Below are 26623 nucleotides of genomic sequence, written 5' to 3'. Positions count from 1 at the left end.
GAATGTACACATGCCAGGATGCTGGTAAATCAGGTTGAGTACCAGTATCAGCTGGTAAAACAGGTTGCCATTTCATAGAAATATGATAAAAGCTATACATGTGAGCACATATGTAATTTTAAGTTTCAAGTTGCTGTATTAAAAATGTAAAAAGAACAAGGTGAAATTTATTTTAAAGTGTGTCTTATTTAATGCAATAGTTCCACAATATTATAATTTCAACATACAATCAATATTTTTCAATTAATGAGATATTTTACATTCTCTTTTTTCATATGAAGTCTTTGAAATCTGGTCAGCATTTTATATTTAGAACACATCTTAATTTGGACTGCCACATTTTTAAGCCACATGTGGCTAGGGGCTAACATCTTGGACAGCACAGCTTTAAAGGATGATCTCTTTTACTGAAACACATTTTAAAAACAATTTGACTACAATTGAACCTCTTTCTTTATTCAGTGTTTTTGTGAAGCTATTTAGATTCTATTTGGGCTGTATTTCATCAGTAACATGAAGACAAGTTTAATTGCTTGTTTGAGACTCAGATGAGATTGTGGCTTTAATTTCCTAACATTTGGATGAATTAACCATATAGATGAGACATAATTGTCTGATGCTCCATTTAGCTATGTCAGATATGAAGTCAATATGTGGAAAAAGCTAAAGAATGATGGCAAGTAATTTCTACTTTATAGTTTAATAGGTATATTAAATTTTATAATGTTAGTTTATAATTAATATTCTATTATTATTCGAGATCTGACTCTGAATGCTATTTAAAACCCACAATGATTTAACAATTTTCTCCTCTGTATGTACATTGCTGATGCCCATAGTTTTATATTTTCTCAACTAAACTATTTGAATTTACCCTACTTGTTAGTAGCTTTATTCTACTCATTAGTAATTTTTAAGATAACTATTTAGTGCTCTATGAGCTTTTCCTTTTGTGCATATTTCTCTTAATACAGAAATAATTCTATTTGTTAAAGAAAATTTTTAAAATACAGTTAGAAAACTGGAGAAGAAACTAAAAATTAATCTAAATTTCCAACACTCAGATATATCCTTTGGTAACATTTTATATATTTCAGATGTATGAATGTTGTTTATAAAAATGAAAAAAAACTATACACATATCTACTGATTTTTCCTGTTTTGAATCATATCCAGTGTCATTCCTTTTTTCAATAAATGGTTACTGAGCTGCTTCTATGATTTAGGTCATGTATTAAATATTATTTTACAATATATTTTTAAATTAGATGGATAGTATTACAATGTATGACTGTATCACATACATTTAACCAATTTCCTATTTTTGGACAATTATTTTTACCACATTTTGATAATTGTTTTAAAAACTTGGAATAGACAATTTTGTCACCATATTTTGAGTAGTTCTATAATTATTCCCTTAAGATGAACTCCTAGAAATAGAACTGCTGAGTCAAAGGGCATGAAAAATTCTAAGACTTTTGGTAGCATTGGTAAATTGCCTTCCAGACAAGTAAAAACAATTTATGTTTTCATTAGTAGACTTTATATTATTTGGTTCATCTGTACTTGGAGATCAGGGCATTGGAGATTGCCGTCATGTGTGAATATCATCAGTGTCACGTTCATGTTCTTTCTCTCTCTTTCAATATTTATTTGTGTAGCATAGCTCTTTCACTGTCCTTATGTGAAAGTTTTGCCAAAAGAGAAATCTATGCATAGTTTTCATAATAAACCTGACTCTTCCCTTGTTTCAAAATAAACCATATTTCAAAATAAACTCTATTGCTAATAAAGATGAGATGGATAAAAGTCAGCATCAGAAGGCAACACTCAAGAAACACTGTGTGGCTTCACATAATTGTCTTTAAAAATATGTGAAATAAACAAATGCTTACATATATGACCGTTGCTTGATGAATACAAGACAGAAGAAAGAGAGGGAAAGGGGTATAATAGGTAACTGACATTTGCTTACTTGATGAGGTGACAACAAGTTAAAACATTGGAGCCCTAATTCCCATGTGGCATTTTTCTCTGAGAATGAACTCTCAGAGCTGTTGGAAAGTTTCAGTGCCTGGGCATGTCCAGTCTCAGGTTCTGCACTTCCAGTCTGAGCTGGTTGTGTGCCAAGGGTGATTAATAAGGAGAGAAGTTCCCAGAAACAGCAGCGTAATTACCTTATCTTCCAGTGTTCACGTAGTCTCGTTGGTTAGATGACCCCTCACCCAACATCCTGGGTCACTGCAGCTCCCATTTTCTCTTGTCCAACTTGATGTTGGGGTTTATATTTTTGGAAGGAGTGGGTAATAGTGTGGACCATGATTTTATTTTTGTCACATATCTTTAGTAGCTGTCTCTTAAAATACATCATTCATAATAACTACTTTATGGTTTTATACTCTTCCTTTAAACACCAAAAACCACATTTGGTGTTTATTCAACCTACTTTGAGTTTGTCGTGGGAATAAAACATTTTAAATTCTCTTAGATATGGTGGAGTGCCTTTTTTCAAGGGAAAAAAGGGTTCACTTTCTGCAGGATACCCTCAAAAACTAGTCTTAGAGTTTACCTTTGCTTAGTTATATTTATTTGCATGTTATGTATTTGTGAAAAGTATATCTAGGTATTTAAGAATAGCGGCTTAAATACCTAGTTTAAGTCTTTATTAGTAATATCACTGCAGCTTCACCTGCCTTTTTAATGTAATTGTTTTAGCTAGTGACTGCACAATGTAATGGTGCATGAGGCTACATTTTCAATACTTCAGGAAACTGAAAAATCTGGGTTTTATATGATGAAGAGGTGAAAATCATTTATAAGGGGTTTCTATTCTTCACTGGGTGTGAAATCAAATTAATTTGGATAAATATGATTGAAGAAAATGGAAACAGCAGCTTGATGGGTTTGTGTCTAGGACAACTGACATTTGTTATTGGATAATACAGAAAGAATATATTGTAAAAATAATAAAATATGTGTAGCTATATGCAAAGCCAAGATTAAAATTTCTATGGACAAGATTGTCAAATTTTAACATGAGAAGAATTTTAACACCTATTTTATATAACAAACCAATTGTTCATGACAACAACTTTTCCCTATTCTTTGTACCTTGAAGTCCAATTGCAGTTAAAATATAATCTTTTGAGGTAACCATAAGAACGAACACTATGGAGAACAAGTAATGTAAGAATAACTACACCATTCCCAGGTTTATGTTTATTTGCCGTATTAGTGCCTATCAGAAAACATAAAGTTGAACATTGCTAATATCTAAAAAATAAACTGAGAAGAACCATCACTCTTTTAATTCATTCTTATAATTTCTTAGTGATTACTTATGGTTGGTTTGAGATGACATTATGACATTTTATGTGGCAATTAAAATTTCAGAAGACCTTATGATGGCTAATTAAAATTTTCCTCATACTGTCCCAAAGAAGTAGGCCAATTTTATTACTCTTGCTTTTGGACTTAGAAAATTGAGTCATAATGTCTATATAAGGTAATTTTATTTAATTCAACTTTACTGCACTTTAAAATGTTCTTGTCCCCCCAAAAATGAAGAATAAAATGGTAACATGGAGACAGATTTTGGCTCAATATAAGGATTTAAAACATAGAGCAAATAATGTATTTCTAGATGATCTTGTCTTCACTGATTCTATTCATTTGAGTTTGAGGGGGTTTTTCTGGTCTTAAAAATGGCCCTTGGTGTTGAACATCATTGGTCTGCCCACAATCAGCTGCAGAGTATTCATCACTTTAGATGCTGGTCTCTCCCCATGTTGGGTCTATATCTCTTTCATCTCTACATCCTTTCATAGTACTTTTCTTCCAAAGCAATATTAAGATGCTATGTTTAAAAAGTCATGTTTCTCTTTTTCAGTTTGCTGTCAAATTATCTTTAGCTATAAGAGAATACCCAATCCAACTCAAAGTAACTTACATAATAAAGGAATTTCTTATTTAACAAGAAGTCTAGAGGTAGAAAAGTCCAAGTACAGTGAGGTCTGGTGTTCTGCATTCTCTTGCCCAGCCTTCTTGCAATTTAGATGACTTCCTGCCAGACAGTTCTGCATAACAATGTCCAGAAGCAGAGAGGGACCTTCCTTCTTTCTTTGTGACTCTTTTTAAGAGCTAGGAAACCTTTGCCCCAGAGGACTTCCCCTCACATTTCATTGGCCAGAATTCGATCTTTTGTCCCTGTTCCTACCAAACACTTGTTGGAGAAACAGGAAGTTTGTGAATGGGTGTTTGTGAATAGCTGAAAATCAATCCAGATTCACTGCCAGGGCTGGAGATGGGGCTCATTTTTCCTGAAGCAGTGCCAAGTGTGGATGGAGGAGAGTGGATCTTGAATAAAGTCAGCATTCTGGTGGGCAGGAGCAGGGGTGGGAGCAATGTCTGCTACAGTTTTCTTTTCCTTACACTTCTTATGATGAATGTAATTATTAAAAACTTAGCATATGGGGTGGTTGAGCAATTACATCTTACTTTTAAAAGGCTATTTTAGGTGAGGTGCTGTGGCTTATGCCTGTAATTCCAGCACTTTGGGAGGCCGAGGTGGGAGGATTGCTTGAGCTCAGAAGAAGACCAGCCTAGGCAACAGAACAAGACCCCATCTCTACTGAAAATAAAAAATTAGCTGAGTGTGGTGGCAAGTGCCTGTAGTCCCAGCTCTGTGGGAGGCTAAGGCAGAAGGACTGCTTGAATCCAGGAGTTCAAGGCTGCAATGAGCCATGATCACGCCACTGCACACTGGCCTGGGTGACACAGCGAGACCCTGTCTCCAAAAAAAAAACAGTAAAAGGCTATTTTATCTCGGTCATGTTATTTTAAAACTTCCACTAGAAAACTACTGCTGGATGGATGTTTCAGAGACAAAGAGTGGTTTAAGAGGCTTGCCATCATCCCTACTATTCTACTTCCAAAAAATATACATTCTAAGTAAAAAAAAAAAATGAGCTTTCTATGTAAACTTCTCTAAAAAAAAATCTAAGTAAAAGCAATATGCTTGCTATTTGGAAAATGCAACTTCCAAATAAATCTCTTAGCCTCCTATTCTGACCGGATTCCCAAAGCCATCACTTTTAGAACCCTGCTATCTTTTCATCATTCTTCAGAAGAATGAGGCTTTGGAATTTGGCACAAGTTTTGGCTTTATCCTATAGGTCACTTTTTTTTTAATTGTTTGTTTCAATGGATTTTGACCTTGCTAGTGAAAGTTCACTTTATTCTGGTTGTCACCTTCCAGCTAAGTAGCCAGACTGGTAGAGCCAGGGACTGTGGAGGTGGGAATGGATCTCTGAGGAATAGAAGATGCATACCCAGGGAAGATCAGATTCTGTTGGTCAGAAATGGGTCTGGGAGCAGGGAGCCTCCTATAAACCAGACTGAAAATCAGACAGATTTATATCTGGACAGTGGGCCTGGGCTGGGATCATTGGTGGATGAAGAAACCAGGCTGATTAGATTGGGTGTTTGGATGGTTCTGTCTTGGAAAGAAAAAATTGAAAGGTGAAGTCAAGTTGTATATTACAGAGGGTCAGACCCGATGCAGCCAGACAAGAGGATGGTCTGTCATCCACATTAATTGAATGGTGGCTCACTGCACTCCTACTTCTCTGTGAAGGAGCAGTAGGTGTCCCCTAACACTGTTCTGCTTTAAGAGATGAGTTTTTCTTCAGGTCAGGTTCACTATTGCATCAGCTAGCTTCAGGAGGCACTAATTACCATTTTGCCTGGAAAGCTCCCTTTCTCTGAGAAAACATAAAACAGCTTTCAGCCAGTTTGTAACCACAATGTTTAGTTTCATAAACTTGTTTCTGTTGTTAAAGTATCTGTTACCTGTATGTGTCCTGTTTAGCACCATTGTCTGCCCTCCACCCCTAAATGTATTTGAATGTCACGGAACCAGAACCCAAGGAAAGTGGTTTAAACATGGCTATGAGGACCACTAGTAGCTAAGTTAATTGTGAGTCACTTTAGGATTTTTGGAATAATTCAAACAGGTAGAATTAGGGAGACAATTGGCTTGGGTCAGGGTGAATTTTTACAGCTCTGTTGTTGTTTTCTGAATTATCTGTTTTGTCTCACTTCCTGAGAAATCATAATAAAATGATATCTGTGATCGATACTATATTGTGGGGCAGGGGATGGTGAATGAGAATTGAATGGTAAATACCTCACCTTTTGTAGGCTGAAATTCCCTGAAGTGTTCAAAGTACTCAATAAACTTACAAATTGTAAAATCTTGGCAGGCTACGATAAAGATGAACATTCTAAAGCACTTTAAATTAGAAAGTTTAGACGGACAAAAAGGAATAGAAATTGCAGAGAACTGCTAAAGATTTTTTGTCTAAAGATTTTTTTTTGTAAATTGCAAAAAGCTTAGGACACTTTAAAAGTTTTCTTTAAAATTTTCTTTTAACGTAGAGTCATTTTTCAAATTCAGAAAGTAGATAAGAGATGAGAATATTTTTCACTGTCTGTGCAATTTAGCTAGTTCTGTCATTAGAATCACCAGCAAAGCAGTTGAATTCAACAAGAACTTTGAAAGGTAAAACCTAACCTTAGTTTCAGCTATTTGATATAGATTTTTCTATACAAAAAAGATGAAGGTTTGATTTAAAAAGTGTCCACATTTACACTTGGAAATGCAAATATATTGAATCTGATTTTATTTTAGAAGTTCAAAGTGCATGTTCCTCAGAAGTGGCTACTTTGTTATTGTGATGAGACTACTATGTTTAAATATTCTTAGATTTTTACTATTCAAAGGCTCAGTATATACGTAGGGTATGTATGTAGCTGAGGGAGATTTCTCCCTTCCTCAAATGCAGCATTCTAATGGAGATGCAGGGCTGTTTCATTATTACTGCCTATGTGAATATTTGCTCCAATATTTAAGGCTGCAGCTCTGGAAACTGCTATAAATACATAACCTAAAAATAATAATATTGTGAGTATTTATATATCATTTCCTTTAAGCATGTTTTTTAAATTTTTATTCTACATGTACTAAAAAGTGACTTGCAATTTGAGTAATTTTGGTAACTGGAAAAAACTGTTGGGATGTGAGGCTTCTAAAATCAACAAGAAGGTCAAAATGGATATGGTGACAGTTCATGGCATGCTTGCTTTGAAATATCTGACTTTAATGTCTTATGATCATTTCATATGTTTAAGTGGTTTAATATTGTCACTAAAATGGCAGCTAATTAATACATTCAGGCAATGTATAAAAATGCACTGAGTGCCACAAATTCTTCTGCTGCTATATTTATTTATAGCAATGTACACTGCTTAATGTGTGCTTCTATTTGGAAAGCATTTTTGTAAATGTTTGCCATTTTCACTTTCTCTTTGAGGACAGCCACAATCTTGCACTGCCACTCAGTATGAGATATCATCAAAGAAATTAATTTAGGAGTACTTCTCCATTTACCAAAAGATTTAAACTATTTTTGAAAATTACGGGTAAGATTGCTTGTAGATTATCTTAGGGTAGGTTCTATTGAAACAAAGCTGAGACAGGGATTCCTAAACAAGAGATTTGTTGGGAGGTGCTCTCAGAGGGAGGGCTGTGAAGGAAGCCAAATAGAGGAAGGGAAATGTGTAAGCAAGAAAGTGTCAGTGGAGACTGGCCATGGTTTGCTCCCATGGGGAAAGGCCAGAGTGCAAAGGTATCATAGAGTTGATCCTCTCTGGAGGCAAGTAGGCTGGCTTTCTGTACCTCCAGGTAGGTCAGTCATTGGTTATGGTTGGCCTTTGAAAGAGGGTGGGAGGGTAGCCTTCTCTAAAGAGGGTGGGAGAGGCAGCTCCTAGTTGGTCCATAGCAATTCTCCAGAGAAGGAAGGGGCATCTGTGAGTTATCTGCCAAGACTCACAGCATCTCGGTGATGGGAATTCCATCTAATAAAGGCGATGTGGGTGTGGTACCAACAGTATCCATTATAGAGGTGAATCACAATTTAGAGGAACAGAGAACTGGTTGGACCTAGCTTCTATTGCTTCCCCCTTCCCAGGGCACACACTACCCATACATCCACATTTATAATCAAATAAAGGTGGAAATTCAAACTTTTTTCAAGTCCTTTTGATTAAAAAAACATTTTACAAACATTAATGAAGACATGTACTTTAGTTCTATTTTTTTGTTTGTTGCTTGTGGTATGGTAATGCAGAATTTATGTGGCTAACTCTGCTATTAAAATGCATTTATGTTAACCTGAATGAAGATGGGCTGCTTGAGAGAGGACCTGAGATGTTGTCCATGAAAACCTGAGGATGTTTTAAATGCCAAGTTTACTCAGGCAAACCTTTCTCCTGGCTTAATACTCCTATTTGTACTGCTTTATTTGCAGAAGCCTTTGTCTATACGTGCATAACTGCTTCAGACAGGACTGAAACACTTGGTGTGTTCAATGAATTCATTTCCAGTTCTCTCTGCAATAAATTATTATGTCATACTGAAGAACTTTAGAGTATTCCTCTTCCTGGTAGAACCTCCAACTCTCTTTTTTTCCCCCTATTATGAAACAGATAGGACTTTTTTCTTTGAAAAAGAATTTTTCTTTCTTGCTACTTATCAGAATAATAATCTTGTATGAGAACATTGGAATTCCCATCAGTGTCACTGATTTAAGAGGTGTTTTATTCTGTTTTAAATTGTCAAATATTTTTTAGGGGCATGGAAGATATATAAGAAATTCTTTGAAATGCACAGTTAACTTAAAGTATAAGACCATTGATATAGTAGAAATAAACAATGACAAGTATCCTCTTGGATTAAGAAGTATTTGTTGCTAATAATATTCCCTCTGATTGCATTTGTATTTGATTATTCTAATTTATTAAACAGGAATAATGATATGCAAAATAAACTCAGAATATAAAAAGATATTAATTCAGTTTAGTGTTCAAACTGATATTGCAAACTTTTCACTCTGCACAAGACTTTGCTAATAGTCTAGAAAGAATGCAAACCAGGATGGTGCCTAGGAGTGTTCTGAAATGAAAAAGGCCTTTTGGAGCGTAGTGGATATGTTACTGGGAAGGTGACTTGAAGGGATCCTATTTGCAAATGATTTCTTCAGTGGTTTTAATGCCGTTGGTTATCTTTTCACTATCAATATTTAGTATTGCCTCTATGAAGCACTAAGAAGATAAAGTAAAAGATAATTTTAGACTTTCTTTTGAAGTCAAACCTTAAATAAGTCTCTTCCTCAGTCTGTCTTTATTTTCCGTTACATAATTGCTCATTTAACTGTCTACATTTATACTTTTCTCCAGTTTAGACATAGGAACCTTGTTGAATAAATAAAATTCCTTTTTAATCTGTATATATAATTATTTTCCAATGTTTATTTCATTCATTGGTCATGATTTCTAAAATATTGTTTTAGGCAAGAATAATTTATTTTTGAAATACTATGTCTCATCAAACTTAATTGAATTGTGCCTGATACTCATGGCAAGACCAAATAAAGAACTGAAGGAACCCATTGCATTAGAATTTAGAAGCTTTTCTGAAACAGACATTAAATTTGGCTAATGTATTTAAAATACACAGAAACCTCGTTTTGCTTCGTTACTATCACTTGCTAGTAGCTTGAACAGTTTGAGTCCCTCAAATTTCATGATTGCTCAATAATATGTTGTGACATTTTTGTTGCTTCTAGAAACTGTCAACTAAGTGAAGAAGACCACTGGATTTACCAGGCTATTTTGGATCAGTACCCTGGAGATCTCTTTGGAAGAAGGACTCTGTATCTGGACATGTTACAAAGATATTTTCCTCACAAATCTAGGCATGATTTGGTGAGTACTGGACCTACCTACATACTGGCAAGTTAAATTGTTTTAGTAGTCAATAATTATTAAGCAATGTACATGTATTTTCAATGGTTCTTTAAAAATTATTTTTTTCCTACCCTCTAGAAAATAATAGGGTTATATAATAGTTTGAAAGCCTGTGCAGGTCATTTTTTCAAGTTTGTCCTGTCCATAACGAGGTGGGGGGCCCCCTCGGGCAGAAGTCACTCTCTGTGCCTACTTGCTGCGGAGATCTTCACTGTGGTCCCAGGGCTGCTCTGCTAGTATTTGACTCCTGGATGTCCATACAGCCAGATGCTCACCTTCAGGGGCTTTACCATCTCCAGGTCTTGCCTGAAAGTGAAATGCCTGCTCCACCATTCACAGAGCCTGCTCTACCTCAGTCTTTCTAGTCACAGGGAGGCCAGCACTTGCCCTGGGGGTGGTACTTACTTATCTCTTCCCCACCACAACAACTCTGCTTGATCCTCCTAGTTGGATCTGAAACACAAATACCCCAAATACAGAACTCAAAGATGTGACTGATATTTTCCTAAAAAGGAACTGGGAAATTACTGTTTTATTGTTTCATTCTTTAGTCAACAAGAACACAAGGGCAAGAAAACAGAAGTTACTCTGTCACCAGTTAATTTCACAATAACTCACCTTATAACATACACGTAAACAAACACACAGACTTTTAATTTTTAAGTGAGCCATGCTATAGCATCTTATATACTCTGCATTTTTGTAATTGTTTTAAATTAAGCAAGTAATAATACTCACATGTATATAGAAGTTAACCATATATCAATCACGTGGAAACTCCTTGAATACATGTAAGAGTGGATGGGAGAAGTACTATTCCCATCCTTAGATGAAAAAACTGAAGCAAAGGTCACACAGCTACTGTGACCATTTTCTCCCATCCTCTTTCATCCTCTTCACCTCTCCCCCTTTATTCAGTAACAGATACCTGTTATATAATAAATAGTTCACTCTGGATTTTTAAATAACTTTCATTTATTAAATTAGATCTTTCCTTTTGTTCCCTATTGATTCTAGTTGCTTCTGTGACAAGTTGTTATTTATAACTTGAAGATTTTTATATTTTCCTATTATTATCATGATAAAGATTTTTACATTTACTTTTTTGTTTTTTGGTTTTTTTTTTTTTTTTTTTGAGATGGATTCTCACTGTCGCCAGGCTGGAGTGCAGTGGTGCGATCTTGGCTCACTGAAACCTCCCCCTCCTGGGTTCAAGCGATTCTCCTGCCTCAGCCTCCAGAGTAGCTGGGACTACAGGTGCAGGCTACCACGCCCAGCTAATTTTTGTATTTTCAGTAGAGTCGGGGTTTCACCGTGTTGGCCAGGATGGTCTCGATCTCTTGACCTCCTGATCCGCTCACCTCGGCCTCCCAATACATTTACTTCTTACATTAGATTGATTAGCATCCATTTCTGTGTGGTATATGCTTAATGTTTGAAAGATGTTAAGTATATTTTTGGCTTTATAAAACAAAGCTGAGAAGTTTACAGAACAGATTTTAGTAGCTGATACTTAGTTTAAGTGAGACCAAGTAAGTGGTTTTACTGTTTACCTAATTATACCTAAAGTATTATTTTAGGTGGGACATACCTTATCCCATTTGCTAGCTGCTTTTCTCACAACTCCTGGGGGTTAAATAATGTATTAAATTCAGAGTCATGGTCTATACTGGCAAAATAAAGAATTATTTAGATCAGTGACTCTCAATTTTGGAAGACACATGTTTTTCTGAGGAGCATTTCAGAATGACCCACAGAGGTTTTCCAGGCTACTCAGGTTCTCTCCATTCCTGTTCTTCCCTCAAGACTGCTAATTCCCATGGATGAGATTCACTGCCAAAAGGAGCTACTGCTGCCAATGTGGAAATGCCATGTCCCTCATGAGCATAGCATGGGAAGGGCTCAGTGTCATTGTTATTATTACTTTAAGTTTAGGCATCCTAACATCTGAATGTTTCAGTAATTAAAGGTAAAATTGTGAATTTTCAGGATTGTGGTAGCAATTTTTATGTTTATTAGCATTTTGTCTAACTGAAACCCTTGATGTAATTGTTAAAATACCAAAACTGATGTAAAGATGGCGTATTTAAAAAATTATATATAGGGAAAATATTGCTTTCTGCTCATAGAATCATTACCATTTAGAAATGAAAGTGGTTTTAGCTCTCCCTCTCCTCCCTCTGCCTCTCCCTCTCCGTCATCTCCGTCTCCCGCTTTCCACGGTCTCCCCCTCTCCCTCGTCTCCATCTCCCGCTTTCCACAGTCTCCCTCTGTTGCCGAGGCTGGACTGTACTGCCGCGATCTCGGCTCACTGCAACTTCCCTGCCTGATTCTCCTGCCTCAGCCTGCCGAGTGCATGGGATTGCAGGCTCGCGCCGCCACGCCTGACTGGTTCTTGTATTTTTTGGTGGAGACGGGGTTTCGCCGTGTTGGCCGGGCTGGTCTCCAGCTCCTGACCTCGAGTGATCTGCCCACCTCGGCCTCCCGAGGTGCCGGGATTGCAGACGGAGTTTGGCTCACTCAGTGCTCAATGTTGCCCAGGCTGGAGTGCAGTGGCGTGATCTCCGCTCGCTACAACCTCCACCTCCCAGCCGCCTGCCTTGGCCTCCCAAAGTGCTGAGATTGCAGCCTCTGCCCGGCCACCACCCCGCCTAGGAAGTGAGCAGCGTCTGCCTGGCCACCCGTCTTCTGGGATGTGAGGAGCCCCTCTGCCCGGCCGCCCAGTCTGGGAAGTGAAGAGCGCCTCTTCCCGGCCGCCACACTGTCTAGAAGTGAGGAGCGTCTCTGCCCGGCCGCCCATCGTCTGGGATGTGAGGAGCCCCTCTGCCCGGCCACCCAGTCTGGGAAGTGAGGAGCACCTCTTCCTGGCCGTCATCCCATCTAGGAAGTGAGGAGCGTCTCTGCCTGGCCGCCTATCGTCTGGGATGTGGGGATCGCCTCTGCCCGGCCGCCCTGTCTGGGATGTGAGGAGTGCCTCTGCCCGGCCGCCCCGTCTGGGAGGTGAGGAGTGTCTCTGCCCGGCCGCCACCCCATCTGGGAAGTGAGGAGCGCCTCTGCCTGGCCACGACCCCGTCTGGGAACTGAGGAGCGCCTCTACCTGGCCGCCCCGTCTGAGAAGTGAGGAGCCCCTCCGCCCGGCAGCCGCCCTGTCTGGGAGGTGGGGGGCGCCTCTACCTGGCGGCCCCGTCTGGGGGGTGGGGGGCCCCTCTGCCCAGCCGTCACGTCTGGGAAGTGAGGAGCCCCTCTGCCCGGCCGCCACCCTGTCTGGGAGGTGTACCCAACAGCTCATTGAGAACGGGCCATGATGAGGATGGCAGTTTTGTCGCATAGAAAAGGGGGAAATGTAGGGAAAAGAAAGAGAGATCAGATTGTTACTGTGTCTGTGTAGAAAGAAGTAGACATAGGAGACTCCATTTTGTTCTGTACTAAGAAAAATTCTTCTGCCTTGGGATGCTGTTAATCTATAACCTTACCCCCAACCCCGTGCTCTCTGAAACATGTGCTGTGTCCACTCAGGGTTAAATGGATTAAGGGCGGTGCAAGATGTGCTTTGTTAAACAGATGCTTGAAGGCAGCGTGCTCCTTAAGAGTCATCACCACTCCCTAATCTCAAGTACCCAGAGACACAAACACTGTGGAAGGCTGCAGGGTCCTCTGCCTAGGAAAACCAGAGACCTTTGTTCACATGTTTATCTGCTGACCTTCTCTCCACTATTGTCCTATGACCCTGCCAAATCCGCCTCTCTGAGAAACACCCAAGAATGCTCAATAAATACTAAAAAAATTTAAAAAATAAAGTGGTTTTAGAGGTTACCTGGTGTAACTGCATCCTATATGAGGAAACTAAGGACTTATAAACATTAAATGACTTGTCCTCAGTCACCAATTAGCCATGGGTTCAGAATTTTGGCGGTAGTACCTGGTTTCTGGTTGCTGTATTTACGATTAAATATTTGTCCCCAGTTTTTCAAAATCATTGGTTATAATTCATTTTCTTTTCATTTTTGTAACAATGATGCAAAATGTAAGCTCATTTTCATAATGATAAGTATTCACCCTCTGTTATCTTTTCAGGTTGAACACGAGAAATATTGTGACCAATATCGCTTTGCTATAGAGCAGCAAAATATCCTGATATCAAATTGGAATAAAAATAAGAAAGACTTTATACAGAAGGCTGTGCTGACACTCACTGAGGCTTGTGCAACACATGAAATGGAGAGCATGTTGGCTAAGGACAAGAAAAAGCAACAGGAATTGTGTGCTGATCTGAAAGCCAAGGTAAGATGCTGCACAGGTGTTTCAGTATTTGTCTGGATATTTAAGAATCCATTTTTCCCTTTTGTTCAAACTCAACCTAAAGTTCAGTTTCTCTTAAAAAACAAAAGCCTACCTTTAATAAAACTGTTAGTTTGAACTGTATAAAATTGCATTTTTTAGGTCAAATACAGTCAATAATCAATAATTTCATATGGTTCAACCAAAAAGTTACTATAACAGGATGTTAATATCAAAGTTTTGATTGAGATATCCAATACCAACCATAGATGTGCACATCAGACTGAGGTGCTAGACAAAAATGCAAGTGTAATGATAAAGTTACTGTCTAATGCTGATCTAAAGACTCTTGGACTTCTCATTCACATCAAAGATAGCAAAAAGTTCAAATGAGGAGGAGAAGAGAGGCTTTATGATGAAATACATTGGGGCAAGCTTGCTGGGCTGTGTGTGAGTCCTCAGCGAAGTGTTGGGGAATGGATGGGGTTTTCCTCCTCCTCAGACCCAGAAATATCTAGCGGGGCTGGATTGAGGATGGCTTGGGGAGTTGGTAGGTAACCCTCGCTGTTAGAAGGATTGAGGACTGGAGCAATGCTCAGAGGGAAATAGAGGAGCTGCTTTAGTGGCAGAACTGTAAGTAAGAGTGGTTGTTGTGCTGGGAATAATTGCATTCCACAGGAGGGTCACAGTGCATGAGTCCTGGAGGCCTGATGTGGATATGGCCTCCCCAGGAGTGTTGGCCAGGGCCATTAAAAACAAATTGTATTGAGGTATAACATACTTGAAGTGCACAAATCTTAAGTTGATAAATGATATGGTAGGAAGATGATGGTGCAACAAAAAATTTTATTCTCCTGATAGAAAACAACTGGCAGACATTAAGCAATACCAATTAAGAGCATATAAAACAAATGTCTTTGTTTTAAAACATTAGAGGAAAAATGTTTCATCTGCATTTTTTAAAACAAAAAGATATTTCTTTTGACATTGCATAAGCTTGAGACCTAAAAGGAATAGAAGCTGCATCAAGCTGGTCTATCATGGGCTGCAGGGCTAATACATGTTTCTTCTCCATCTTCAGGCTGATAAGAAACACACAGGGGCCAGGGGCCATGACAAGTTATTGTATTCCTAGTTTGTTTATATTCATTTTGCACACATTATCATTAACTGTTGAGCTATGCTGAAATTGATATTTTCCTTATATTGTATTGCACTGAGGTAAACATACATGTAGTAAAGTGCACAAGTGCACTTTAGGTCAAAAACGGTCAACAATCAATAATTTCATATGGTTCAACCAAAAAGTTACTATAACAGGATGTTAATATTGAAGTTTTGATTGGGATATCCAATACCAACCATAGACATGCACATCAGACTGAGGTGCTAGACGAAAATGCAAGTGTCTTGATAAAGTAACTGTCTAATGCTGACTCAAAGACTCTTGGATGAAGCTTTATGACACACACGCATACCCATGAAAAACCACTGAGATCAAAACCTAGAATGTTTCTGGCAGCTCAGAAGACCACTTAGTGCCTCTTCTCAGTAAATACAATCCCCACCTGTGATCACTATTCTGACTTCATGACCATCGATTAGTTTTGTCTGTTCCTGAACTTCATATAAATCAAATGATATATACAGTATATAGTCCTTTGTACTTCTTGGATTCATCATATCTGTTTCATCTTTGTGGCATGTTACAGCTATTTGTTCTTCTTTATTGCTGTTTAGTATTTCATAGTATATGTATATATTTTCCTGCTAACAGAAATTTGAGCCGTTTTCAGGTTTTTGCTATTATGATAATGGCACTATCAACATTCTTGAACATGTCTTTTGTTGGACATATACATTCATTTCTATTGGATAGATAGTATACTTAGGAGCAGAATCACTACATCATAAGGCTCAGATGTGTTTAGCTTTAGTAAATACTGCCAAATAGTTTTCCAAAGTGGTTATACAAATTTGCAACCGAATTCAGTTGCTTCACATCTTCCCCAACATTGGTATTGCTAATCTTTAATTTCATCTAACGTGGTGACTGAGTAGTGGTACCTCATTATGGTTTTTATTTGCACTTAGAATAAAGCTGTCCAAGTGTCTTTTCATATGTTTATTAGCCATTTGGGTATCCTCTTTTGTGAGAAGCCCACTCAAGTCTTTTGCCTATTTTTCTATTGGGTTTTGTGCTTTTTTTTCTTACTTATTTGTATGTTCTTTATATATTCTGTATGCAAGAGCTATTTCTTTTTATTTTCTCCCAATCAATGACTTGTCTCCTCACTTCTCTTAATGGCATCTTTAAATGAACAAAACTTCTTAATTTTAATGAAGTACTTTTTTTTATTTTTAAATGTCTTTGAGATATGTTATATATAGTAAAATAACTATTTTTTTTTTTTTTTGAGATGGAGTCTTGCTCTGTCGCCCAGGGTGGAGTGCAGTGGTGTGATCTCAGCTCACTGCAAGCTGCGCCTCCCGGGTTCACGCCATTCTCCTGCCTCAGCTTCCTGAGTAGCTGGGACTACAGGTGCCTGCAACCACGCCTGGCTGATTTTTTTGTAATTTTTTTTTTTTAGTGTTTTTTTTTTTTATTATTATACTCTAAGTTCTAGGGTACATGTGCACAACGTGCAGGTTTGTTACATATGTATATATGTGCCATGTTGGTGTGCTGCACCCATTAACTCATCATTTACATTAGGTATATCTCCTAATGCTTTCCCTCCCCCCTTCCCCCACCCTGCAACAGGCCCCGGTGTGTGATGTTCCCCTTCCTGTGTCCAAGTGTTCTCGTTGTTCAATTCCCACCTATGAGTGAGAACATGCAGTGTTTGGTTTTTTGTTCTTGTGATAGTTTGCTGAGAATGATGGTTTCCAGCTTCATCCATGTCCCTACAAAGGACATGAACTCATCCTTTTTTATGGCTGCATAGTATTCCATGGTGTATATGTGCCACATTTTCTTAATCCAGTCTATCATTGATGGACATTTGGGTTGGTTCCAAGTCTTTGCTATTGTGAATAGTGCTGCAATAAACATACGTTTTTTGTATTTTTTTTTTAGTAGAGATGGGGTTTCACTGTGTTAATCAGGATGGTCTTGATCTCCTGACCTCATGATCCACCTGCCTCAGCCTCCCAAAGTGCTGGGATTATAGGCATGAGCCACCGCACCTGGCCAAAATCACTATTTTTAATGCATAGTTCTATGAATTTTGAAAATGCATGGTGTATAACTACCACTATAATCAAGATATAGAACAGTTCCACCACCACTCAAAAATTCTTCACTCCCCTTTGTAGTCAACCCTTCATCTACCTCCAGCCTTTGGCAATCACTGATCTGTTCTCTATCCCTATAGTTTTGCCTCTTCTAGAAGGTCATGTAAGTGTAACTCAACAGTGTGTAGCCTTTGAGTCTGGCTTTGTTCACTTAGCATAATGCATTTTAGATTCACCCATGTTGTTTGTATCAATAGTTTGTTCTTTTTTATTGCTGAGTAGTATTCCATGACATGGCTACGTTACAGTTTTTCCATTCATCAGTTGTTTCAAGTTATTGGTGATTAATGTTGCCTTGCTTATAGTGGGAGTAGACTTTAGGCTTCCTGGTGAGCCTGTGCCTCAGAGGGTGTCCCTCCTTTTTTTTTTTTTTTTTTTTTTTTAAGAGACAGGGTTTCATTCTGTTGCCCAGGCTGGAATGTGGTGATGCAATCATAGCTCATTGCAGCCCAGATGTCCCAGGCTCAAGTGATCTTCCTGCCTCCATCTTCCAAATAGCTGAGACCACAGGCATGCACCACTATGCCTGGCTAATTTTTCAGTTTTTCAATATTTTGTAGAGACAGGGTCTTGCTATGTTGCCCAGGCTGGTCTTGAGCTTCTGGCCTCAAGCAATCTTCCTGCGTTGGCTTCCCAAAGCACGGAGATTGCAGGTGAGCCACTGTGCCTGGCTTGCCACACTCTTGTTCCTTCCCCTGCACTAGATTGTTACTAGACACTTGCTAGCCTGGTAGCGGAAGGGGCATTCTGCAATACTGGTTCAACCTCAGTCTCAGGCAGGGCCTGTGTCCCTGGGTCTTGGGGCTAAGGGCTTACTCAACAATCCTGCTCTTTTCCCCATGGCAGACAAATTCTGCCTCATGAATTTGATGTTCTTGTGAGGGAGATAGTTTCCTTCACCGTCCCCAGGAGAAGATGGTTTCTTCATTTCCTTCTCCCAGTTGTGATGGGTCCACACTTGTACCCTAGTGGGTTTGTGGCTTTTCCTTCAGCAGTGATGGGTGTTCATTCTATAGGGCTTTGGATCCTCTCTGGCAGATCTGCACTGTCATAGGATGCGTTCTCTGCTCTCCTACCCTGACTCTGATATTTTTTTTGTGAGCACTCTGTGAGATCTATGGAGAAAAGCCTGAGAGTGGGTGCAAATTCCTCTTGTGTTTGTAGCTTCCACAGGTTCTATAGTCTCATGCTCTGCGAAGTCATTAAAACTTGTAAATCATTAAAATTTATCAATTTATTACAACATTTTAGCTGCAGTCTTCTTACCCACTTCCATAGTGGCCTCATCTCCCCAGGTGCTCTGCTGCAGGTAAGCCAGTTGTCACATCCTGGCTCTCCTTGGAGGCATCTGTCTTTCCTTAAATTTCAGGCTAATTTATTGCCTTGTGACCTCTGCTCTCTGATGAGTTCAGGAAAAGTCCTGATGTAAGTGATTCAGCTTTTTCTTCTGGTTACGGTGAGAACAATATTCTATCTAACTTTCTACACCTAAATGGAAGCTCATAGGTCCTAATGAAATATAATTCATCAATCTTTTTTGTGCCCTATTTAAGAAACCACTGGCTAATGGTAAAGGGCCATTGTCAAAGATATTCTGCCCAAGATTTTTCTGCCTAACAGGGTTCCTGCCAGAGGTAAGGGGACCCCAAAAACAGTGGGATGGAACAACAATAAATGGGAACCTGACAGATAGAAAAGAAATGGCTAGTCAAAGGTAAATGAGCATGACCCACATCAGGAGCATCTTTCCTGGAAAGCCCAGCTAGCAATCAAGGCAACAGTACTGCTTGGAGATCAAGGGTCAGTATCAACCTCCTGCCTAGCTTACTTAGGACAGTGTCAGTCACCCATCATCTGAGAACTTGCTTTCCTTTTCTTTAGCCCTCCTCTTCTTTTCTTTCTCCCACCTCTGGGCCCTGAAGGTTTAAGCATCTGGGGAATGAAAGAAGAAGCCATCTTCTGCATGAAGAGGGAAGTGGTAACTAATCTCTTGGAACCAGGCACTGATTTTGAACCAAGACTGTGTTTTGTGACTTAAAGTTACCACGGACCTCTCTAACCCAAGAGTGAGCCATGCATTCTGCTGAGTTTTCAATTGGTGGTTGGAGAACATCTGAATGGAGGACAAAAACAATGCCACATTTTGTTGATGTCTCACACATCATGCTGTACCGTATACTAAGCATACTTTACTGAGTGTCTCCTATCCACCAGGCATCCTAATAGATGCTTTCTGTGCATTTCCTGATATTCTCTTCAATGACAAATCTAAGCTGAGATGTGCAGAGGTTGCTGCAGAGCATCTAGCCACTGAATCAAGGCCACAGCTCTAAGAGACAACATAAAATGTAGCCTCCTCAGAAGGGTATGGTCACATGAGGGTAAACAAATATCTGAACTTTCAGGGATGAAACCTGAGAAGTGTAAATGCAGGCAGACAGTGGGGGAAATCAGAACATAAAGTACACTATAGTAAAATGGATTCTGTTTTTTCTAGAGAGGGTGTTATCATTGGAATTTGTATTCCTGATGAGGGACTGAGCTCAGTAAATTATAGCTGGGATCAGAATGATATCATAAAAGAAAATAAGTAAATCTATAAATTCTTCAGTCACTTAAAATGTTAAAATATGCTTATAATTTTTTTTAACCTGGAAGGAAACTTGGCAATTTATCCCTGCCTTTCATTTTATAAGCCTGAAAGCTGAGCCCTGAAAGATGAAGTGACTTGCCTAAGGTTCACACCAGCTCATTCAACTTGTAATTCAATATTATCTTGGCCCCACAAAGGTTTGCATACAAGAGTTCTACAAAATAATAGAAGATATTTATTATACTGTAGGCTCCAGTGTGCTATAAAGTAGGCCCACAGAGTGTGAAAAATATTACTTCATTGTATCATAAATTTGACCTTTCTAAAACTAATATGCCAGCTATAATAAACATTAATTAAACATTTAACCATAATTTTGTTCTCAGCCTTGGAATTTAAAAGGGCTTTTGGGGGGTAATTTAGATGATTTGTGTCTTTTAAGATGTGTTAAAGGAATTTTGAAATAATGCTCTCGTGCTCTCTTTCTCTGTCTCTGTTTTGTTTTATTTTGGTTTCTGTCATAACAGTTGCTGTAGCAAGCAGAGGCATTTAGGCCTCTCACCAGAGGATGAGAGTAAAGGGAGGAAGCAGAGCTCTCAATCTCCTGCTCCCATGAAACCTGCTCTTTGATCCCCCAAGTTTTCCCCGACTACTGCCTGAACCAGTCTGTTAGCTGTGCACTCAATTCCGCAGCATCCTTGTCTTTCAACGGCATGCCTAGGAACATCCTCCCCAGAGCCATCTCATAATTTTTTTTTTTTTTTTTATGGAGTCTCACCCTGTCACCAGGCTGGAGTGCAGTGGCACGATCTCGGCTCACTGCAACCTCCAACTCCTGGGTTCAAGTGATTCTCCTGCCTCAGCCTCCTGAGGAGCTGGGATTACAGGCATGTGCCACCACACCCAGCTAATTTTTGTATTTTTAGTAGAGGCAGCGTTTCACCATGTTGGCCAGGATGGTCTCGATCTCCTGACCTTGTGATCCGCCCACCTGAGCCTCCCAAAGTCCTGGGATTACCAGTGTGAGCCACCGCTCCCGGCCCTCATAATTGTCTTTCTTTGCTTCCATGCTGGGTGGCTGAGTGCTGCCTGGTGGCCAAAGGGGAAGAGTTAACTTCATCTGGATGCTGAATGCCACATGAGAGGCTTTCATCCTGTCCTTAGTTTGCCCACTCTCCCCATTCCTTTTATGACTGTTTCCTATGGTCGCCACTCCATAGGACCCTTACCTGACACCATACACCCTCATTCTCAGACTCCCAGGAGACAAGCCACCTCCTACTTTAGCAAGAAAATTCAGTCATTGAGGAGTGAAACAACCCCTAATTTCTTCCTCCCCACCCTATGCCTTTCTGTCTCTTGCCAGGTGCTGGCCTTCCTCTAGATGAAGGGTGTGATGCTTCCTATGTGTTCAAGTTCGGTCCTTCTCCCTAAAGTCTGGAACTGTGACCCCCCCAACTACTTTAGAAATGTGATGCTAGTGGTTATCGCCTTTCTTTATTTTTGTCTCTCTTATTCTTTGTAGTGTTTCCTTCAGCCTATAAACATGACTAAGTCAAAAGACTATCCAAAGAAGCCTTCTCTTGTCATCCTCAAGGTCTTGGGCAGTCCCTAGCTCTACTCTTTCATTTGAAATCAATCCTTTGAAAGAATAGTCTACATTATCGTCCCAAGAACTTCTGACTTCTCAGTCTACTGAAATCTTCTCCACCCCTTAAGGTCTCCAGTGACCACCGTATTACCTAATCCAGCAAGGCTCTTCCATCCTGATCCTCCTGGACCTCTCCCCTTCACTTCCCTGTTGACGATCCACTCTTTGACATTCTTTACTCCCTCAGATTCTGTAAAACCTATCTTGCCATATCTTACAGTGGTTCTTAGTCTTCCTGTATATTTCCCATTGTCTGCCCACTTTAAAACGCTGGAGCCTTCCAGTTTTCTGTCCTTGCTCTTTGCTCTTATATCCTTACTTCATTGGCCACTAAGCCTCCTCGTGATTCCGCCTACCCTGATATGCTATAACTGCTCTCAGATCTCTATTCCCATTTCTGCACAGTTCTCTCTTCAGCTTCATGTATCCAGCTACATGCTGATTATATCAACTTAGAAGGCTGAATGCCTCAAATTCAGTGTCCAAAATAGAAATCCTCATTTTCCTGTGGTAAATTTGCACTTCTTACTTGAAACTTAGCTTCCTCTTTTCTCTTACCTTCATAGCTATTTACCAACTTTTGAAAACTTTATCTATCTGCCCCTTCTTTTCTATCATAAAGCCCTGGCCATTGTTCCTGAGCTATTGCTCCTCTCATGACTATGTTTCACATTCTGCCCTTGAGAAACCCTTTCTCTAAATTGCAGGCAGAATGCTCTATCTAAAATTCAATTCAGGCCAGGCACAGTGGCTCATATATGTAATCCCAGTGCTTTGGAAGGTTAAGGTGGGAGGATTGCTTGAAGCCAGGAGTTCAAGACCAACCTGGGCAACATAGCAAGACCCTGCCTCTACAAAAAAGTGTTTAAAAAAACAGCCAGGAGTAGTGGTGCGTGCATGTAGTTCTAGCTACTCAGGAGGTTGAGGCAGGAGGATTTCTTGAGGCCAGGAGTTCAAGGTTACAGTGAGCTATGATTGCATCACTGCACTTCAGTTCAGTCTGGGTGACAGAGTGAGTCCCTGTCTCTTAAAAAAACTGCAATTCAGGTATGCCATTCCCTAATGATACCATCTCATTTGCTTACAGTAATGGCCCAACTTTCTGGCATGGCTGTCCAGGTTTTCAGTAATTTGGACCCCGGCTTTCTTTCTAGCCTCCTTTCTTGACACACTCCATTTTACACATTACAATTTAGAAATACCAAACTCCTTGTAATTCACTCTCACTCTACCTCTGCCACTGCACAGTGCAACATTCTATTTCCTGTTTTTGTGCCTTTGTTCTTGCTATTGTTGGCTTTGCCTGGAATGCCTCTCTTACCTTCCTTTGTCTGAATAAGTCTCATTCATCTTCAAAATTCAGCTCAAATGTCTGATACAGGAAAACTTTGTTGAATCCCTGACTAGAGTCAATACACTCTTTGTTCTCCCTAACTCCTGGTACATAACTCTGGCTCGCCTGTGATTATGATTATGTCACACTAAAAACTCTATTTCCCCAAAAGAAGTGCAAACAGGAACACCATCTTATTCATCTTGGTGTAAGCCTCCCCCTACCCCTGCCCTAGATTTTCAGTGTTTGGGACCTGATAGGTGCTCAGTAACTTTTGTTGAAGTGAAGTGGATAAGCCTTAGGCATTTTGTTCCTTCTTCTCAATACCTCCTGACACAGTACTCTCCTCACTACCTTCTTTCTAATGTATTTCTCAGGAAACTTGCTGTTGAAACAAGTATATGATGTGCAGTCATCAAGAAGTGAAGTACAAGACTGAATTGTCAACATTGAATATTCTGAGATGCCAAATGTAGTTTTAAAAATAAAACCTGACTACCCATAAAATTGAGGTATATTTTAGGCATGAACAAAGTCACCAGGCACTTAGTTTTCTTCTTCACTTCATCTTGTTTTTGTGCTCCTCGTTGTCTCTCTAGCTGATTGTATGACCCAGTCAAGAAGCCACAAGTAGCTAAGAAAATGAGATAATGTTGAGAGAGAAGATACCTTTTTGAATAAATATCACTTGAACTCTCTCTCTCCACATTTGGTAGTTCTCCACAGTATCAATTCCTTCCATAATTCCCCCCTTCTCCACAGATTTCAGCCTCCTTTGCTGTTGGAGAGCAGACTTGGATTTAGGTTTCACAAATCAGATGTGAGCAGTACTTTAATTCAAATAGAGTTTTCTGAGTTCCAGTTCCAGGGATGATGAATGGCTGTTGTCAGACTCACCCTCACACAGTAAGCAACTATAGAAACTTGACAAAATGATTTAAAAATGTTTGCAGGCATTGGATAACCAGTGTATGGATGAGATTTTTGAAATAAGAGAAGTTTTAAAAGTGAGCCTCTTATTCACCCTGGATTTCTTCTTGAGGTCATCTTTCAATATGAGGTGGATAGAAACAGCCTAAGCAGAAAATGATAGTCTTGATAGGTAAAAGAAGCAGAGATTGGAGTTTGGGCTGCAAAGGCAAATACAATTTGGGGGCAGGATACTAGAGATGAAGGACTGGCAGATAAAGAGCCTCCAAAATGTATATGAAAATATTCCTTGGGTCCTTTGCCAGCTTCTAAGTTCTGAATGTGCAGGATGAGATGCTAAAAGACAAACAGAGAACAACCACTAGAAGGCTGAGAACCAAATAGAGATTTGAGAGGTCACAGGACACAGGCCTGGGGAGGTGTAGGTCTTGGAGTTCTAGTTTAGTCAAAGTAGAGAAATCTTGGTGAACTCTCTAGACATTCGGTTGAAACCCTAGAAAGGCCATGCCGTAGGGGTAAGGGCTGTACTCTAGGATTATAAAGAAAATAGAAACAGACTTACCCTCTAAAAGGCCAAGACAAAGCATCAGTAAAATTCAGGAGATTTTCTGGCAACTTAAGTGCCTTCCTGACTAAGGCTCAACACTGTTTAGAGAAATATAACATAACCCAGAGGCCCTACAAATATGATTCACAATGTCCAAAATATGATGAAAATTACCAAATACTCAAAGAAACAGGAAAATCAGATAGATAATCAAGGAAAGAAACTGTCTCAGAGATTATCCAGATATTTGTAGTTAAAAGACAAGAACCTCAAGATAATTATGATTAATTTGTTAAAGAAAATAGAAGTAAACATGGAAAAAATGAATGAAAATATGTATTTCAGTAGAGAATTTGCATATATAAAAATGGGTCAAATAGAAATTCTAGAAATGTAAAATATAGTACCTTAAATTAAGAATCTATTGAATTGGCTTTATCAGCAGACTGGGCATAGCAGAAGACAGAATTAGTGACCTTGAAGACAAGCCAATAGAAAATATTCCACCTGAAGCACATAAAGAAAAAATAATAAAGTGAAAGTGAGAATAGAGCAGATAACATAAGAGAGGTGTGGAACATGGTAAAAAGTTGTATTATATATGTAATTAAAGTTCCAGAAAAAGAAGAGAGAGAATAAAATAGAGGCAGTATTGAAGAAATAATATCTAAGAACTTACCAAATCCAGTGAAAGACATCAACCTATATTTTTAAGAAGCTCAACAAACCCCAAAGTAGACAAACACACCAAAAAAAAACCACACCTAGGCACTTGACAGTCAAACTCCTGAAAACAATGGTGATACGGTTTGGCTGTATCCCTACCCAAATCTCATCTTGAATTGTAATTCCCATAATCCCCACATGTTGTGGGAGGGACCAGGTGGAAATAATTGAATCACAGGAGTGGTTTCCCCCATCCTGTTCTCCTATTACTGAGTGAGTTCTCACCAGATCTGATGGTTTTATAAGGGGCTTCCCCCTTTGCTGGGCACTCATTCTCTCTCCTGATACCATGTGAAGAAGGACATGTTTGCTTACCCTTCCGCCATGACTGTAAATTTCCTGAGGACTCCCAGCCATGCTGAACTGTGAATCAATTAAACCTTTTTCCTTTATAAATTACCTGGTCTTGGGTATATCTTTATTAGCAGCATGAGAACAGACTAATTCAGATGGATAAAGAGAAAGGGAGTTATATGAAGAGACAGACATGGCATGGCCATCGTTTTGCTGGTGTGGTCACACACAAAGGCAGTCTGTTCTGAGTCACTGGTGATGCAACAACTTCCCAATTGTGCCAGAGGCAGTGTGGCTTCTACTAGACCAGCTCTGTGGTACATGATTCTGGATGTTATTTCTGGAAACTTAGTCTAGAGCTTGCTTCTCTGCCCCCTCCACAGATTTTATGAGCTTTCTAAAATTCCATAATTAATACATTCTGCTAAACTATCTAGGGTGGATTCTGCTGTGTGCAACTAAAAACTCTGACACAGAGGGTGTCTGGGTCCTGCTATGCTATTTTGACTGCTTTCTTGCTGGCTGCAGGTTAAAGATGAAAAACAGACAGAATCAGTAATGATTCATCATTCTCCTGGTCCAAGCTGAAATAGATCTTGCAGGCACACACTATGTTGGATCACCTTTGAGGCAGAGATAATCACAAAAAGCTCATCCATCAGTCACATGGCCCAAGTGAAAAGGTATAGGGAAGGAGATGCATATAATAATGATATGTCAACATCTATAGATGTAATTTACTTTCATTTGTACTCTGACGTCATTTAGGGGGTATTTGCTCAGGAGATACAGCAAGTTGCTTCTTTTAGAGCATTAGGGATCTCCACACAATATACTTCGTTGATTAGACAAGAAAAAACAACATAATTGGAGGAACTTGGGTGTCCAGTTTACTATGAGAACTGGCAAGGATTCAATAGTTTCTGCCAATTTAAGGCAGTTGTTCATGAGTATTTTGGTGTGGTCAATTGTGCTATGCATCATTAGCATAATCAGTGCTAGTGATGAATTTCTTGCATTATCGGCTTCCCTATAGTCACGGCAGTTGGGAGCATTTATGGAGAAGTTCCCTGTGGTTAACCATGGATACAATATTAGCAGAAG

At 39.3% G+C, this 26623-nt stretch overlaps 1 protein-coding gene across 2 annotated transcripts in view; it reads left to right on the top strand.

The window, feature by feature from the left end:
- CCDC148 (coiled-coil domain containing 148) overlaps nt 1–26623 on the top strand; it is a 285681-nt gene that overhangs the window by 133170 nt on the left and 125888 nt on the right. For both annotated transcript variants that reach the window (NM_001301684.2, NM_138803.4), the window contains 2 exons: nt 9690–9828; nt 13945–14151. In NM_001301684.2, the coding sequence (NP_001288613.1) occupies nt 9690–9828; nt 13945–14151 (346 nt within the window). The remainder of the gene's footprint in view (nt 1–9689; nt 9829–13944; nt 14152–26623) is intronic.

The sequence above is a fragment of the Homo sapiens genome, chromosome 2 (assembly GCF_000001405.40).
Source record: "Homo sapiens chromosome 2, GRCh38.p14 Primary Assembly".
NCBI lineage: Eukaryota > Metazoa > Chordata > Mammalia > Primates > Hominidae > Homo > Homo sapiens.
Note: the sequence above shows the minus strand (reverse complement) of the source record. Positions and strands in the feature narration are given on the sequence as shown.